The sequence below is a fragment of the Homo sapiens genome, chromosome 2 (assembly GCF_000001405.40).
Source record: "Homo sapiens chromosome 2, GRCh38.p14 Primary Assembly".
NCBI classification, from domain to species: Eukaryota; Metazoa; Chordata; class Mammalia; order Primates; family Hominidae; genus Homo; species Homo sapiens.
In genome coordinates this window covers 124,436,127-124,452,566 of record NC_000002.12, presented here as the reverse complement: position 1 = coordinate 124,452,566, position 16,440 = coordinate 124,436,127, and the positions used below count along the sequence as shown (strand labels likewise).

At 38.0% G+C, this 16,440-nt stretch overlaps 1 protein-coding gene across 3 annotated transcripts in view; it reads right to left on the bottom strand.

Moving 5' to 3' along the window:
* CNTNAP5 (contactin associated protein family member 5) overlaps positions 1-16,440 on the bottom strand; it is an 895,933-nt gene that overhangs the window by 468,653 nt on the left and 410,840 nt on the right. For all 3 annotated transcript variants that reach the window (NM_001367498.1, XM_017003316.2, NM_130773.4), the window contains exon 6: positions 5,630-5,814. In NM_001367498.1, the coding sequence (NP_001354427.1) occupies positions 5,630-5,814 (185 nt within the window). The remainder of the gene's footprint in view (positions 1-5,629; positions 5,815-16,440) is intronic.

Genomic DNA, 16,440 nt, shown 5'->3' with positions numbered 1-16,440 from the left:
GCTGGCATTTTCAAGAAAGCATCAGCCTTAGTAGTATGGAGAGGAACAGGTGGTGGCCAGGGCCCCAGATCTCCCAAGAGTATATGCCCTTTTTCTTCATTTACTAGGTTGGGTAGAGAAGGACCATTAGGTGGGGGAAGGGCTAGGCATGTCTGAACTCAGACTCTACTTGGGCAGGTCTTGTGGCAACTGCTGTGGAGGATTAGGGTGAGGTTCCCAGGTCAATGAAGTTATGTTCCTAGAAGGATTATGGGTGCCTTTGCTGTGTCATGCAGGTTGTCAGGGAAGTGGGCAAAGCGGGCAGTCACAGGCCTCACCCAGCTCCCACGCAACACAAAGGGCTGGTCTCACTCTCACCGTGCCCCACCCTCAATAGCACCAAGTCTGTTTCCAAGCAGTGGAAAAGCAGGGCTGTGAACTTGTCCTAGGCTACCCACCTCACAGCTGCAAAAATAAGTAGGGCTTTCCTGCTTCCCCGACCTGTGGATTCTGGACACTGGATTCATGCCCTTCCTTGAGTGCCGGCCAGGAGACTTCTCAATGGGTTCAAATTGTTACGAAGTTCACCTAGAGATTTCCTTCTCCCTATGGCCTTTTCTCAGTGCCTCTGGTAGCCCTCCTGAAGGTCCACTGTGAAGCAAGGCAGAAATTGACTCAGCAAGCCCACAGGGATTTTCCTCCTTTTTCCTCATTTGGGTATTTTGCCCAGCTTTCTAAATTCAATGAGCTCCAAGTAAGGTCAAAATCTTCTCCCGTAATCTAGACCTTCGGGTTCCCCAGTGGGGGTTTGTGTTCAGGGGCAGATGATCCTCCTTTTGTGGGATGATCTCCCTTTCCCTCCACAGTTTGGGCACTCGCAGTATTTGGGGTGCCTCCTGGGTCCTGCAGAAGCAATCTGCTTCTTTTGGAGGGTCTGTGTGTCCTCCGGGCTTTCCTAATGTATTACTGCAGTCGTTCTGGAGCCAAAGTTCACGATGCGAGTCTCCACACGCTGTTTTGCCTGTCTGAGTGGGAACTGCAATCCAGCCCTGCCTCAAAAGTGTGATTTTTTTTGTAGTACTTTTTAAAGTTCTTGGGAGGATGACATAATTATATAGATTTTTTTGGTGAACAGTCACATGGTTTTAAAAAATTTTACATAGACGAAATTTTTTATATATCTTAGTTCCAAGTTTCTGGATTTTATGCCATTCCTAGAAGAACTCCAGCACTCTTACGTTTAAAAAATATGATCTCTATTTAAAACTTCTGTGAAACTTATTCTCAGAGATTAAACATCTATGTATTTTAAAATGTTTAGTTCAATCTAATTTTTTGTTTGTTTTTTTGACTAAGAATTTTCATTGAAAATATATTTTGTACTTTGTAAAATGCCTTTTCAGTATCTATGAAGTGATAATATGTAAATCAAATATGTATGTGCATATACATATACATTATATATTTGTGTGTGTACATATATACATTATGTGTGTGTGTGTGTGTGTGTATATATATATATATATATATATATATTTTTTTTTTTTTTTTTTTTTTTAAGAGACATGGTCCTATTCTGCTACCCAGGCTGGAGTGCAGTGGTGCTATCATAGCTCACTGCAGCCTCAAACTGGGCTCAAGCCATCCTCCCTCCTCAGCCTCCCAAGTAGCTGGGACTACAGAAAAAACACCACGCCTGACTCCTGAATCATATATATTTTTCAAATATGTTTTCAACAGTTTAAGAGCTTACAAAATAGCTATGTAAAACAAGATTACTGAGCACTTTTGATAAGAAAAGCCTTCTTGGATTACAAAAATGTTAGAAAAGAACTATTTTTTCTAAAGATCCTAAAAATATCTTTTTTTCTAAAGCCCTTCTGCTCCAGGCTGGAAGTAAACTGAGCTGCTACAATCCTTCTCGCAGCGTTTGGAGAAGTCACATGGGTTAAGTGATGTAAACTGAGAAGACATTTTAATGAGAAGTAAAGGATCTACATTCTGCCCTTTTTTTTTTTTTTTTTTTTTTTTGACAGCAGATTCTGTGAGCTCTTGTCTGTTTGCCTTCTGGGCAGGAAGGGAAACAGACCACTGCAGACATCTTAGTGCAGCAAAGTTCATGCTAGTTGCTTTATAGAAAGTCATTGTGTCACTTGATTGATATCCCCTAAGGTAGTCTAAGATGAAGAATGAAAGCTACTACCTTTTCTTGCCATTATTACCACATCATGGTAAAGAGTAAAAAGAAACATAGGTTTGCATAATTATATTAGCTTTGATATAAAATCTGATATATACAGAAGTATATATCAGAGTATATATATATATCAGAAGTATATATCAGAGTATATATATATATCAGAAGTATATATCAGAGTAGTACATGCTCCAAAAATTAGTCATTGGCACACAAAGACACGACTGTTGTCCTCTAGCTGGTGATGTCCAGGCCTCATTTGTGCACATATGGACGCATGGCAGAAAGCAAATCAATGTAGATTCTAATTGATATGCAACGTTGTGATAAAATAGACCTTAGATTTACATATCCTGTTTAGCTCCATTCCTTCCAACAGGGGTCTGGATCTTGCTTCTGGATGACTGAAGTTAGAACTTTTTATTTCCCAGGTTTACACAGCCAGTTAGTGGTCATGTGGTGAGTAGAACACAGGGTTTCTGCACCAGTGTTCTTTCATCTCCACACAGACTTTGGGGTGAATCTTCAAAGGCTGGAGGTTTCTCTTGACACGTAACTCTTGTCTTCCAGTACAGCTAATGTCAAACGCCGCTATTACAGCCAATCTATCTTCTTTTATAATCATTGGAGCAAGCTGGCTGAACAATCTGGAGAAGACTTGAATTCCCTAAAGCAGAGGTTACTTCAGAGAAACGTTTCAAGGTGCCTCTTTCCTAGGGAGCACATTTTATAAAGCACCAAGACATCCGTGCACGCCCTGAAGAAATCAGTTCCAACTTCATCGGATTTCATTTCCCTAAATGCTGACTTTCACTGTAATGTCACTCAGCTATGATTTTATACAGATTCCACACACAAGAGACAAAAGATAAGCAGACATGGGCTTGTAAATAAACATTAAATCTGGCAACAGAGTGAATTTTAGAACCATCTTCTGGGACATTAAAGGGAAAGTATGTCGGGGGAATGACGAGACTTCCAGATGATTTTATAGGTTTTTTTGTTTGTTTGTTTTGTTTTTTTTGCTGTTGTTGTTGTCTTTGAGTTTATAAAAAATATCTCTTTTCTTTGAGATGGTTCCAATATTGAGTGTGTTCTTTCTTTTGTCAATCAATTAAACAAGTTGACAAAGGAGAGCAATTGATATTCACAGATTTCCAGTTTTCAGCAACTCAAAAATATCCACCTGTTATCTTGTATTCTGAGTCAAAGAGTGACAAATTCCTTTTTGAAGTTAATGAATGGCATATTTTATCCACAGTATACTAAACTAAGGTTAAGATCAAAAGAGCTCTCTTATTCTCATGATAGTGATTGAAAAAATAAGTCCCGATTTCTCAATTATTCATCTCCATCTCCACTGTTCTATTATCTATCCCACTAGTGATTGAAGTTGTCTGCTAGCAGGCTGTCCAAGGTGGGACACAGGAACACACACATACCCACAGGTATGTACGTGTTGGTGTGCCATGACTGTGTATCCAAACGTAAGATTCTTTTAATGATATTAACAACTTGTAGCACACAATTTATGAATAATGATAAAATATGCAATAATCTATTATTGTAAGTTCTGTATACCAGTTGAGTTTTATAGAATGCTTTTGCTGACCTTTGTTGAATAATTTTATCTGTAGCACTTAGAGTCTCTGTCATATATTCTTTTTGAAAAATTTCTTTATTGCCTTTACAACCCTTTAAAAATGTAAAAATTAGTCTTAACTCACACATCATAAAAAAACAGGCCTCAAGCCAGACAAGCCAGGTAGTTTTCTGACCCCTGGTCTAGACAATGCACAAAACAATAAAGCAGTCCCTGATTTGTAATGTATGTCAACCTCTGTGGTATAAGTATTTCCACTATGGTAGACTTCAAGCTGTCAACGGGATTTCACTGAACATAGAATTGGGAAGAGCTGTGTGGTAGCAGCCCAACCTACAGTATCCCCACAACACAGATAGAATAGTCATGAAATACCTCCAGAGCACCTTTAGTTAAAAGAGACAGGCAAATCGATATAATATAGTGAAATAATTAGAAATCAATGAATGTATTAGCTTTTAAAACTAATTTCAAGTTTACATAACTTTATTATTATTATTATTATTATTATTATTATTTTAAGACGGAGTCTGACTCTGTCTCCCGGGCTGGAGTGCATTGGCACAATCTAGGCTCACTGCAAGCACCACCTCCCAGGTTCAAGCAATTCTCCTGCCTCAGCCTCCTGAGTATCAGGAACTACAGGCGCGAGCCACCATGCCCGGCTAGTTTTTTGTGTTTTTAGTAGTGACGGGGTTTCACCATGTTAGCCAGGATGGTCTCTATCTCCTGACCTCGTGATCTGCTGGTCTCAGTTTCCCAAAGTGCTGAGATTACAGGTGTGAGCCACCATGCCCAGCCAACTTAATTTTTAATAATGCCTAGGTTAACCAAGGGCTCACAAAATTTCTGAAAATCTAACACTTGAAACTCATGAACTGGTAACAAGCTGACTCAAACACACCACTGATGGCCTATTCTTTTGAATTCCATAAATACTGGACTGTTTGACATTTTTTGAACCATGCTCTGTCTTGCCTCCCCAGTCTTCTAACCCTATTCTTTCAAGGCTTAGCAGCATCTCCTGCTAGAAAACTTCTGCCATTTTTCAAGGTTGAATTAAGTGCCCTGTTTCCTATATAAATACATAATTATATAAATATAAAATTTCTCTATTCTAAACTTCCAGTGACAGGGGCTTCATCCACTGTAGCTTTAACCTCCTTGTTCTGCAAGAGCTTATCTCAGTTTCTCCAACTCAGAGACTGGACATTTATGGCCCAGCAGAGCCTGGTGTACAGCAGGGGCACAACATGCATTCCTTGAACTGAACTACTAACAAAGCTGGCAAACTCTTGGCTGCCAGTTTGCAGAGCTTTGTGCAGCCTTCTTTGCATTGAACTGGTTCATTTCACTGTACCTCTTCTACAAGAGAGCAGGGAAGAAACAGCTCGCCACGGTATTAGTCAAAAGCTTGCATCGGAAGAATGAAAGTCAAAGGGTAGTCTCGACTGCAGGTTTTAGATTCCATGGGTTTTGTTTATAATGTAAATATCTTTCATCACCACAGATAACTGAGGTCTTTTTTTTAAGAAGATACATAACCAATAGACTAGGCAGCAGCACAGAAAGTCTACACGCAGGAAAAAAAAAAATGAGAAGGAAACCTGCTGGATTTTAAAATGCACAGAGCTGCTATCTTGTGGTTTAGCCCATCACTCCTTCACTGCTCAGATTCTCTGGCTGCACTCCTTTCCTTGTTGACTATCTGGCATAGATGGAGGAAGTAAGTCCCAGGGTAAGACTCCTCAGTGCCCCACCACTTCTCTCAGTTGGTCTGCTCACTGATTTTCTTGCTGCGTTCATTGAAGCAAGGGGCCGAGGAGGTGCAGGAAGGAGGATCAACTCACCTCATAGTCAATGTCTAAGGCATCCGTCTCGCCCTTGGTGCGGAAGTGCTGTGTGTGCTTGTCCACCGTGAAGTTCACCTGCTTGCCCACCCGCTCAATGAGGACCGAGTGCCAGTGCTGGTCATCCAGGAGGCTGCCCAGGGTGGCAGAGGGCAAGCTGCTGCTGAGCCGCGCTTTGCTGTCACCTGTGAAGAGGGGAGAGAGGCAAGATGATGTCTGTGTCCAAGGGCAGCTTTGCACACCAGAATGCTCCACAAGCAAAAGCAGCTATATCTGTTCTAAAGGCAAAGAATGATGTCTCCCTACAGGCCTGGAACTGTGCTGGACCTGGGAAGGAATAACAGGCTTGGCCCACAGATTCCAGAATCAAGTTCAATATGCATACCTCCTTCCAGACAAAATAGGGCATGTTTTCAAGACTTGAAAAATTAAATAATGAAAGGAACTATGTCCTTATGGCTACATAAATATGATTGAAAATGGGGATTTTGTTTTTAGAAAGAATGCATATTCTTTGAGTTTGAATGGTTCTTGAGTGGAGAAAGCCAATTAGGAGCCGTGCCTGGGAGGAGGAGTAAAGCTGGGATACGTAAAGGGAAGACAGCTAGTAAGTTTGTGGGCAAAAGCAGTGGCAAGGAAATAATCATCCCATATGTCATGGCTGAGTACCTACTGTATGCACGGCACTTAGGAAGAAATAACTTTCATCTTTAATCCTCTAAGGGAAAATTATCATCTCCATTGGACAAATAAGAACTCTGAGGCTCAGGGAGGTGAGACATGCATGCCTCAGGTACGGTCAGAACTTGAATCTAGGTTTGCCTCATCCTTTTTACTTTGACCACAGCTATGGATCATGGCTCGGGTCATACTGTTGAGGATTTAGCCTCTGTTGAGTTTGGAAGACCCCTTTGAGAAGACATGAGAGATGCAGCTGGAAAGGCATGCTTTGCAATCCAACCTGCCTGGTTCCCCCTCCGCCTCCTTCTCTCTCAATTTTATGGAAGTCCCTGGCTATACCCCTCTACCAAAAAGATTACAGCTTATATCTTCCCCTGAGGAACTTGCGTCAACCTTAGCAAAATGAACAATTAAATAGAACTAACGTTTGTGTATATATACATTTTCAATTTTTGTAACATTTTATATATTAGGTTCCTTAGTAACTGAAAGCTAAATGTCTGTCTCCTCCCTCTTGGGAAGTGTTTTCTCCAGTACAGCTGCAGCAGCCTGTTCAACCGTGTGACATTCAGCAGGCGGTAGCTGCCACTTCCCCGAAGGCTGCTCACTCCCACCTCCATTATGGCCCAAGGCATTATTTCCTTCACTGAGTAACTTGGTTGCTTCATATAGGGTTAGAAGCATCAGACTCATTATAATTAGAAAAGTAGAGCTGATGAATTAATAGCTGACTTGATTTCATTGGTTTGTTCCACAACTTCTGAGTTTTCATTGTTTGATGGATTATGCTAATGAATTAAAAGATACTTTCATTTTTTCTCCTTACCTCCCTTTCTTTCTCCTATAGAAAGGTATTATGAGCCGGGTACAGTGGCTCACGCCTGTAATCCCACCACTTTGGGAGGCCGAGGCAGGCGGATCACCTGAGGTCAGGAGTTTGAGACCAGGCTGGCCAGTGTGGTGAAACCCCATCTCTACTAAAAATACAGAAAAAAAAAAATTAGCCAGGCAAGGTGATGGGCGCCTGTAATCCCAGCTACTTGGGAGGCTCAGGCAGGAGAATTGCTTGAACCTGGGAGGCGGAGGTTGCAGTGAGCTGAGATCGCGCCACTGCACTCCAGCCTGGGCCAGGCCACAAGAGCAAAACTTCATCTAAAAAAAAAAAAAAAAAAAAAGATATTTGTGTGATCCACCTGAGCTGGTCACAGTGACAAGTAATGTATTAAGGAGACATAGAGTTTAAAGGTATACTGTCCTCTCTGAAGGTCTTCGTGGTCTTAGTGTAGAGATGCTCATCAAATAAATCTATAAAATGTATGCAGGTTTCCAGCACTCAGTGCACAGGGCCATGGAAATGCAGAGTGCGGTGCTGTGAAACCCTCCTTATGCAGCAGGGACAGGCTGAAACCTGAGGGAAGGAGGAGCATGGTTGCAAGGCCAGGAGAAGCAGCAGCCAGGTTTAGAGATGTAGGGAAGCGTGGCCCAGGACTTCCAGCGGCTGAGTGCCAGGAGCTCGTCGGCCTGGATCCCACTATGCAGGACTTTGTAGGCTAGGTCACACAGTTTACACCTTTTTTAAGAAATGGAACTTTGAGTAGGCAGAGGTTACTAATGCAGATTACTGTATTTTTTTGCTTGTTTGTTTGTTTGTTTGTTTTGAGATGCAGTCTACCTGTGTCACCCAGGCTGGAGTGAGTACAGTGGCATGATCTGGGCTCACTGCAACCCCTGCCTCCTGGGTTCAAGCGATTCTCCTGCCTCAGCCTCTAGAATAGCTGGGATTACAGGCGCAGGCCACCACATGAGGCTAATTTTTTATATTTTTGGTAGAAACGGGTTTTCACCACATTGACCCGGCTGGTCTTGAACTCCTGACCTCAAGTGATCTGCTGCCCCGACTTCCCAAAGTGCTGGGATTACAGGTGTGAGCCACTGCGCCCGGCCAGCAGATTACTTTTAAGAAAGGTTATTTTGGCAGCTGTGTGGGAATTGGATTAGAAGGTAAGACTGGCTATAAGACCGGCCATAATCTGGATAGATGGGGCATAAAGGGGTTCAGGCAAGAAGAGTACAGGAAGAATGGTATCCAAGTAATTATGAGGCGTTGGCAGGAGGTGGCCTCCAGGTGACGGAGATAGAACAAAGAACACCACCACCGCCACCCCACACACAGTTTTTATGTATAAAATGAAATGACTCAGGAGCTAACATTGGCTGAAGGAAACTATGCTTTATAAACTGTCATTTCTAGATGTAACAAGGCAGGTAGATTTAATATTGGAGTTTTCACTTTGAAATTGAGCTGCATCTCACTTTTTTCTTAAAATAAGAAAGGCATTGAACAAAAATTTATTAATAATAAGTCCAAATATTAAACATTTGAAAATTTAAAGTCATTATACATCACACACACACACACACACACACACACACACACACACACGGCAAGGAATTACACCCTTTCCCCAACTTATTTGTTCTATGTGCTGTTTTTGTGGCCTTTAATCAACTACTAAGTTCTTTAATAGAGCCAATAATAACAATGATTAAAATAAAATATTTTAATCACCCTATCCTGCTTCAAAAGATAAATTTTATAAATATTATGAATCAGTCAAACTGATTTTATTTTTTATGTAACTTTGGGTATAGTAAAACACCCTCCCTGCCTCCCTTCCTCACTTCCTCCATCTGCTCATCTTCCATAGCCCCAGGTAATCACCGCTATTAATGTCTTGCTTGTGCTTCCAGAAAAATATTAGGTGTATGCAAGCAGCAAAGATAGATTTTCTTTATTTCTACTCATTTAATTTTTTACACTGATGGTAAAATAGAATGTGCATTTATCTCCAACTTTCCATTTTTATTTCATCTATCCTGAAAATCTTTATCAGAATACAAAGAGCTTTCCCATCCTTTTTATAGCTGCATAGTATTCCATGCTCTAATATATATACATATATAAATATAACATATGATGTATATACATATGATACATAATTATATATAAATAATATATAATCATATATATGATATATAGGGCATATCACATTTCATTTAATGAGCTTCCTAGTGATATAAATTTAGATGTTTCTATTTACTTTAGATCTTTAAAACTGTTGAGATACTTTATTATGTGGATATTATCTCGCTTGGGCACAAGCGTATTTGTAGCGTTCATTCTTAGATAAAGAACTGGAGGACAAAGGCTTTCATGTTGGCAATTTTGCAAATACTGCCAAATTGTCCTATATAAAGACCATGACTATTTAAATGCCTAGGAGTGCCTTTACCACAGGCTTGCCAACAACATACGGTCTAGCTTTAAAATTTGGCTGTCTGGTAGGTTAAAAAAGTGCATTTCTGAAATTTTAATATGCATTTCTTTTAATAAGAATAAGGTTGAAAATCTTTTTATTTTTATTTCCTTTTCTTTGAACTCTCTTCCTATATTTTGCCTGTGATACGAATTTTGAAAATATCTTTTTGCCTTTCTTTATTTGTGTTTGTTGCTGCTTTTCTGTTTTTGTTTGTTTGATTGATTTTTTTAAATTCACCACTCAGGTATTTGTGTATTGGGAACAAATCTATCATTTTCCTTTTATAGCTTCTGGATTTGTATAATAGTTTAAAAGGTTCTCCTTATTCTGAGATCATTGAAGAATTCTTCTAGTTTTCCCTAAGTACTTTCAACTGAAATTTATTCTGATGTATGGTATGAGGCACAGTTCTACCTTTATGTTTTGAGATGGCTACCAATTGTCTAAATTCCACTATTTTAAAATCCTTGAGTGGCCTTATTTAGTGAAATAGATTGTATAACTTTAAAATGGCAGGAGAACGCTAGTAAATTGGATAGGGTGGTATTTGTTATGTTGACTGGATCAAGGTTCTCTAAGTACATGATTGGGACCTTCAAATCCTAAAGCTTCTAGTAGTAGGTTATGTCGGTTGTTGTTCACTGTACCCTTCTTGCATCCACTGCCACCATCATCACCACCATCTCAATGGGCAGGAACATCTCCACTGCGGGAAGCAGAGCTAGCATCAGTAACTTTACCTTTACCCTCCTCAAGGTCTAAAGTCAGCCCTTTCTCTCCTGGGTCTTAACTTTGGCTCAGAAAGTTTGCCACTCTCATTGCATCCAACAATTCTTCTCCTTATAATTTTAAGACTTTAGGAAAATAAAAGTACTTCTTCTTAAATAGTGACTACCTTTCACTTACTCCATCTAATGAAACCATAAACTTAATTAACACACTTATCATTTTATGCAAAGTAGCTCATGAAATTTTTATGAATACTTAAAGCAATTTGTTGACCTTTCCTCAAAAGTGGATTAGCATTGCTCCTTGTTTACATTGTTCATTTACTTAGTACATATATATATATATATATATGCCCAAAGATAATGCAAAATTGAGTCCCACCAATTCTATGGAGAAACATTTCAGTTAGTATCAAGGGACTTAAACTTATGTTCACAACTTTTTGTTGTGGAAAAGTGTTTAAGTGGCTAGTGATTTAAAAATTGGATATAATGTCCAATAATTTGGAAGGAGAAAAAAAAATCTGAGTTCATTTATGTAGACTCACCAGATGAAGTATTATATTAAATAGCCATCAAAATGATATTTATAAAATACTTACATTATTTCAAAAGTATACTCAGTAGTGACTGCCCTTTTTGATAAAATTAAAAGTAATATTTAATAAATAGAATACTCAATAATTAGACTATACTGATTTAAAATATACATGAGCAGAAGACAAAAATACAAAATCTAGACTAAAAACAATTCTGGAAAAGGCACAAATAAGCACTATGTGCGGATAAAACTGAAGAATGCATTTATCATAATCATTTTTTTTTTCTTTTCTGTGTGTTTTAGGGTGAGCATAACTATTTTGGATAATGAGAAAAATAAACTTCATTAAAAACACAATCCTCACGCTGCATAGTATATTTGTTGAAGACTATATATCACTGACGTGTAATTATTGAGTCTCTTGGGAATTACAAGTTACTTATTAATTAACCAAAAAGGAGCACATATGGATAAATTTCATCACTCTTTTTCCATTAGTTATGCTATACCAACACTCAGATATCTTATATCAAAACAAGTTTAGTGAAACTTGATTTGGTTAAAAAATTGGGAAAACAAAATTTCTGCTCTTCATTAAAAAAGGATGTTTAGAATTGTATTTATGAGAAGTGTAGGATGGTGGTCCTCAGAAATGTTTCATTTTCCCTAGAAATTTCCATTATTAGAGATCACAAAACACTTAATTCTCACGAAATTATCAAACTCTTGATCTTAGAATATCTATTTTAAGTTTTATCTCAGTGGCATTTGAGGTTCAATTACTAGTTTTAACTTGTTTCTAATTTCGTAAGACAAAGATAAAAATTTTCATGGGCAATTGTGAAGGACAAAAACAATAAAACTATACAGAAACTAACTTTTGGGACAGAAATAGATAAGGGAAATAATTATTTCTAATGAAATAAAAACTTGTTTTCATGGGGTTTAAAATATAGTTAAAACAAAATAAGATATATACTACCCAAGGCCCTAAGAAATATAACAATTTTTATAGGAAGCTTGAAATGTTTGCAAAAAGTGTTTAATTTACCAGTTTATTCTCCTCCCTCCACCCCAAGATGCTGTGGATAAGCATGCCAATTCTTTCATCCTTACTTAGAACTCACATTTTCTGGTAAAGGGCATGCATGTTGCAGTATTTTCAACCAAATGCCTTGTTTGATTAAATCTTCTTTCTAGGTCTTATCTTAACTGTTCAAACATGGATGCCACTTTAACTTTCATAATCTGTGAATTTCAGACAGCCTGAGAAAAAGGGGATGGGAACTCTCATGTTTAAGATTGTATTTGACAAAAAAAAAGTCATTCTTGAAAAGGGTTTGATTTACTCTTGATAAAATAGGTGGCTAGTCACGTGAATTCCCTCATGACTGCCTCTATCAGATCATCAGAATCAACTTTCCCACCCACCTTTAATTTGTCAGGCTATCAACACCGATATTCACTTGTATTTCTTAAGCTTCTCACACAAGTTAAACACTTCACATATGTTGTTATAATTATTTCTGACTATAATAACCCTGCAGAAAGGTGAGTCTCCAAGAAGCCACAAGATTTACCTAAGGACTCAAAGAATAGGGGTTACAACCCAACTCTATTTGACTCCAAAGCTAAAACTGTCTTCACTACTCTTAGTGGAAAAATGGATACTCTCATTCTCCCTCATTTCTTACGCTCTTACTATCTGTATCTCCCATATATGCATGTAAGTTATGTAGCTTAGTAGGAATGGAGGGCATTCTTTTGCAAAGGAATTTAATGGATTGGAAAACAGGGAGCTGTAGAAAAGTAAAATGGGGCAACACTAAGAAGGGAGGACATGACACAGAATAAGAAGAAAAGTTTTACCTCCCTGTCCCAGCCAGTATTGTAAAGGTACCCCCTTTCAACTTTGTTGGGCAATACGCAAAGCTATTGAATGGTCTCCTAAGTATCCAAGTGAGAGCCCTGAAGAAAATAAGAAACGGACAGGAAGCAATGTGATTCAATGGACTTGACTCTCAATCCAGAGCAAGTCTCTATGTTTCTCTAAAGCAATGAAACACATGTCCTTAGCTGTTAAGAAATTTCTAGATTGTATTGACTAAAAACACTCTCCAGATTTAGGAGTTGTTGCTCTACTCTGGTGTCTAACTTGTGTCCGTCTTCTGTGACTTTGCTATCTTCGAAAACATTATCTTAATACATTTGTTATATGATTTTGATGATGCATAGTTATTTTATTTCCAATTAATATAACCAAGCTAAAAAGTAAGTAGAAATAACTATTTTACCAGGCTGACAGCCTCTTGAAAATAGAGACTGATAAATCCAACTTTTAACCCCCAGTGCAGAATTCAGTGCCTGATTTACTGTACTTGTTTAACCTATTCTTATTGCATAATGACAGAATTTATGAAAAATGTGATGCATTTTATCCCATTGATTCTTTGTATGAAATACCTGTTTTTCTCCCCTCTCCATAATAAAATCTCCAGATTACTCAAGGTTGATCCTGGATCCCTCTGTTCCTTCCTGATCTCTCCATTCTCAGAACTTAACACATACATATTGTTTGCCTGATATTTAACATTTTTATGAATTGTTTTATAATTTTTATTATTTGTTTTATAAAAGTTTATTACATTTTAGTGATTAATGTCAGAGAATTGGGGTAGGATTGAATAAGGTTATAATCCCATATCTACAGCTTTGCAGCTATGTGACCTTGAGCCACTGACTGGGAATCACTGACCAGCAGTTCTTCATCTGTAAATGGGTTTGGATACAGATTGTAGGATTGTCATGTAATTTAAATAAAATATGTATTTTAAATGTTTAATGCAATGCCTAAATGTGGGCTCTCAAAAAATGGCAACTAAAAAAAAACTTTTATAGTATTTAGTACAATTTGAGAAACATGATAAACATTCCATAAATATGTGTGAGTTGGCTGACTAAAATGCCTGAGTTTCAAAAGAGCTAAATTAAATGTTCATTTGACTCTTTGGAGAATGGAAAGAACTTTCTCTGGCATCTCAGTGGTTGATTATGCAATCACATGCTTTGGCGCCTGAACCCTGTACTCGGCCCCCAGGTGCTCCTCAGATGTTTGTTCTATTCTAGGAGTCTCACTTGAGTCTCACTTTGCTACAGCTGTATGTATTGGGGATTGCATAAACATCCTGCCTCAGTTAAAAGGCACTGGGCTCTTATAAGGATGATTGACCTGCATGTACTATTGTTGTCTTCTTTATTCTTACAACAGTTCTCTTGTCACGTAATATCTCTGCTCTTTGATTCTCTACCTGCATGAATGGGTTCAGACTATTGTAATTCGGCAGAGGGCAGACTGCCATGGGCAATTTGAATGAGATGTGTAAAAAGTGAGAAAGGAAACATATCTAACCCCTTATGGATTGAAAGAAGAAATCTCTTTCCCATCTAGTAGTTCTGGAAAAATATCAATGTTCTACTTTAAGAAAGTAGGCAAAGAGGAACCACATAGTTCAATTTTGCCATAGAACTGTCTCTACCCAAGCCAGACACAGTAAGGGTTAGGGTAACTATGTAATGTAAATTGGATACTCATCAAAGAGCATCACTAGAGAAGAACAACAGTACACTATGTATGTCCCCAGTGCCATCCTGAGCAGCTGACCGTGGTGCTGAACTTCTTCACTCTTAGCCTGAATTTCTGAATTGCAAGTAACTGATTAGAAAATGAATAAACATTGCAGATGAAGAATTGTCACTAAAGGAGACACTGCTGAAATGTCCATATAAACTGGAGAGGGAAAAACCAAAACTCTCTCCTTTATTTGACCAGCACTATTCTTTAACCCATTAACTTGAATCCTGCCTCTCTTTCTCTCTGTCTCTCTCACCTCTCCTGTATTTCTCTTGCTTTTCTGATTCATTTTTTTAAAAGAACAATCCTGATCATGGATGTTATAAACCCTTTCCCCTTTAAGGCTGTGTGACAACAGGAAAACAACAGTATTTTAGAATAATATTTAAAGAATTCATATAAATAACTAAGATAAATACTTAAAAGATACTAAAATGTTAATAAAAGAGATAACCAGGTTGTAAGAGTTGGATTTTTCTTTTTTTTATATTATTTTCCGGTTTTCTAAAACTGATATATATTTTATAATCTAAAATTAATAGTAAAACACCTGGAGATGGTAATAGTAGCTACACTAATCACTATCTGTATAAATGGGACAAGTAATTTATCCTCTTTGAGTCTACTATTTCATATCTGTAAATGGGGGCTAATGTATACTTATGCCATAGGTCTTCCTTGAGGATCGGACTGGACATTACCACACTGTGAATATTCTGTAAATATACCCCATTGTCAGAGAGAGTGGTGGATCATGGAGGAGTCAGGAGTGCAGGCTTGAAGGTGAACAAGCCCAACAGGAATAATGAAATTTGAGATGAAAACCCTGTTCCTAATGTACTCAATCTGCCTCAAGTACCTACTTTAGGAAGAGTTTCTCCTGGAGGCTAGAGATACAGAAGTGAACAAGGTGTTATCCTGGTGTTTATGAAACCTACATTATAGATTTCCCATTATGGGCAAAGCAAAGCTATTACCACTCCCCTTTGCTTAGTGCTTCCAGAGATCTTCTAGCTGTAATGAGGTAGGAGGGACTAAAGTACTAATCTGTGGCAGTGTTTCTCTAGAAGAGGAACCTAGAAACTTATGCTATTTAAGAAGTATCCTAGGTGACTGCTTAAAACAGGTAAGTACAGAAAACACTCAACTGTGGTAAACTGATAGAAAGGGAAAAGCTGCAGAGACAGATAAAAAAGATGAAGAAATCTTAAAACTATGCAGAATATAGATAAAATATGTTCTTACTACTTAATCCTCCATCAAGTAAGGTTTTACTTAATCACCACCATGGTTGGAAATATAGAGAAGATGGAAACTGGGAAGAAAGACTTATCCTGCCATCTATGTAACATAGCAAGGAGTAGGTGCTATTTATCTTAATATTCCACTTATTTTCAGAAAAGCCAGCATAGCACAGTGTGAGGTATTCAGATACTGTTTGAATAAATGAGCAATACGGAGCTTCTATTTTTTGGCATTTGTCCATGTTTACTCATTGCTATAGAAAATGTATTTACAGTGCTCTTGGTTTTCATGTCCATACTCTGCAAGACAAGTCATTAGCCCCAGATTAGAAATAAAGAAACTGAGGCTCAGAAGACATCCACCATAATAAATCACATAATAAATAAAATAAAAAACACAATTTGATTGCACATCTGTAATCAAAAGAAAAATTGTTACATGACCACACCTATGCTATTTCTACCATTCACACCATGAATGTATCTGGTTTACAACATTAGATTTTGTATGTTGGAGCAGAGTTTTGGATGTGAAATGCCATATCTGAAATGGGAATCTAAATAGTAGTAACTGAAATATTTCACAATGTTATCAGTAGAAGACACTCGCTTTACTATTGATAAGTAATAGTAACTGTACCCCCAACACACAATGCTATGTAAGCC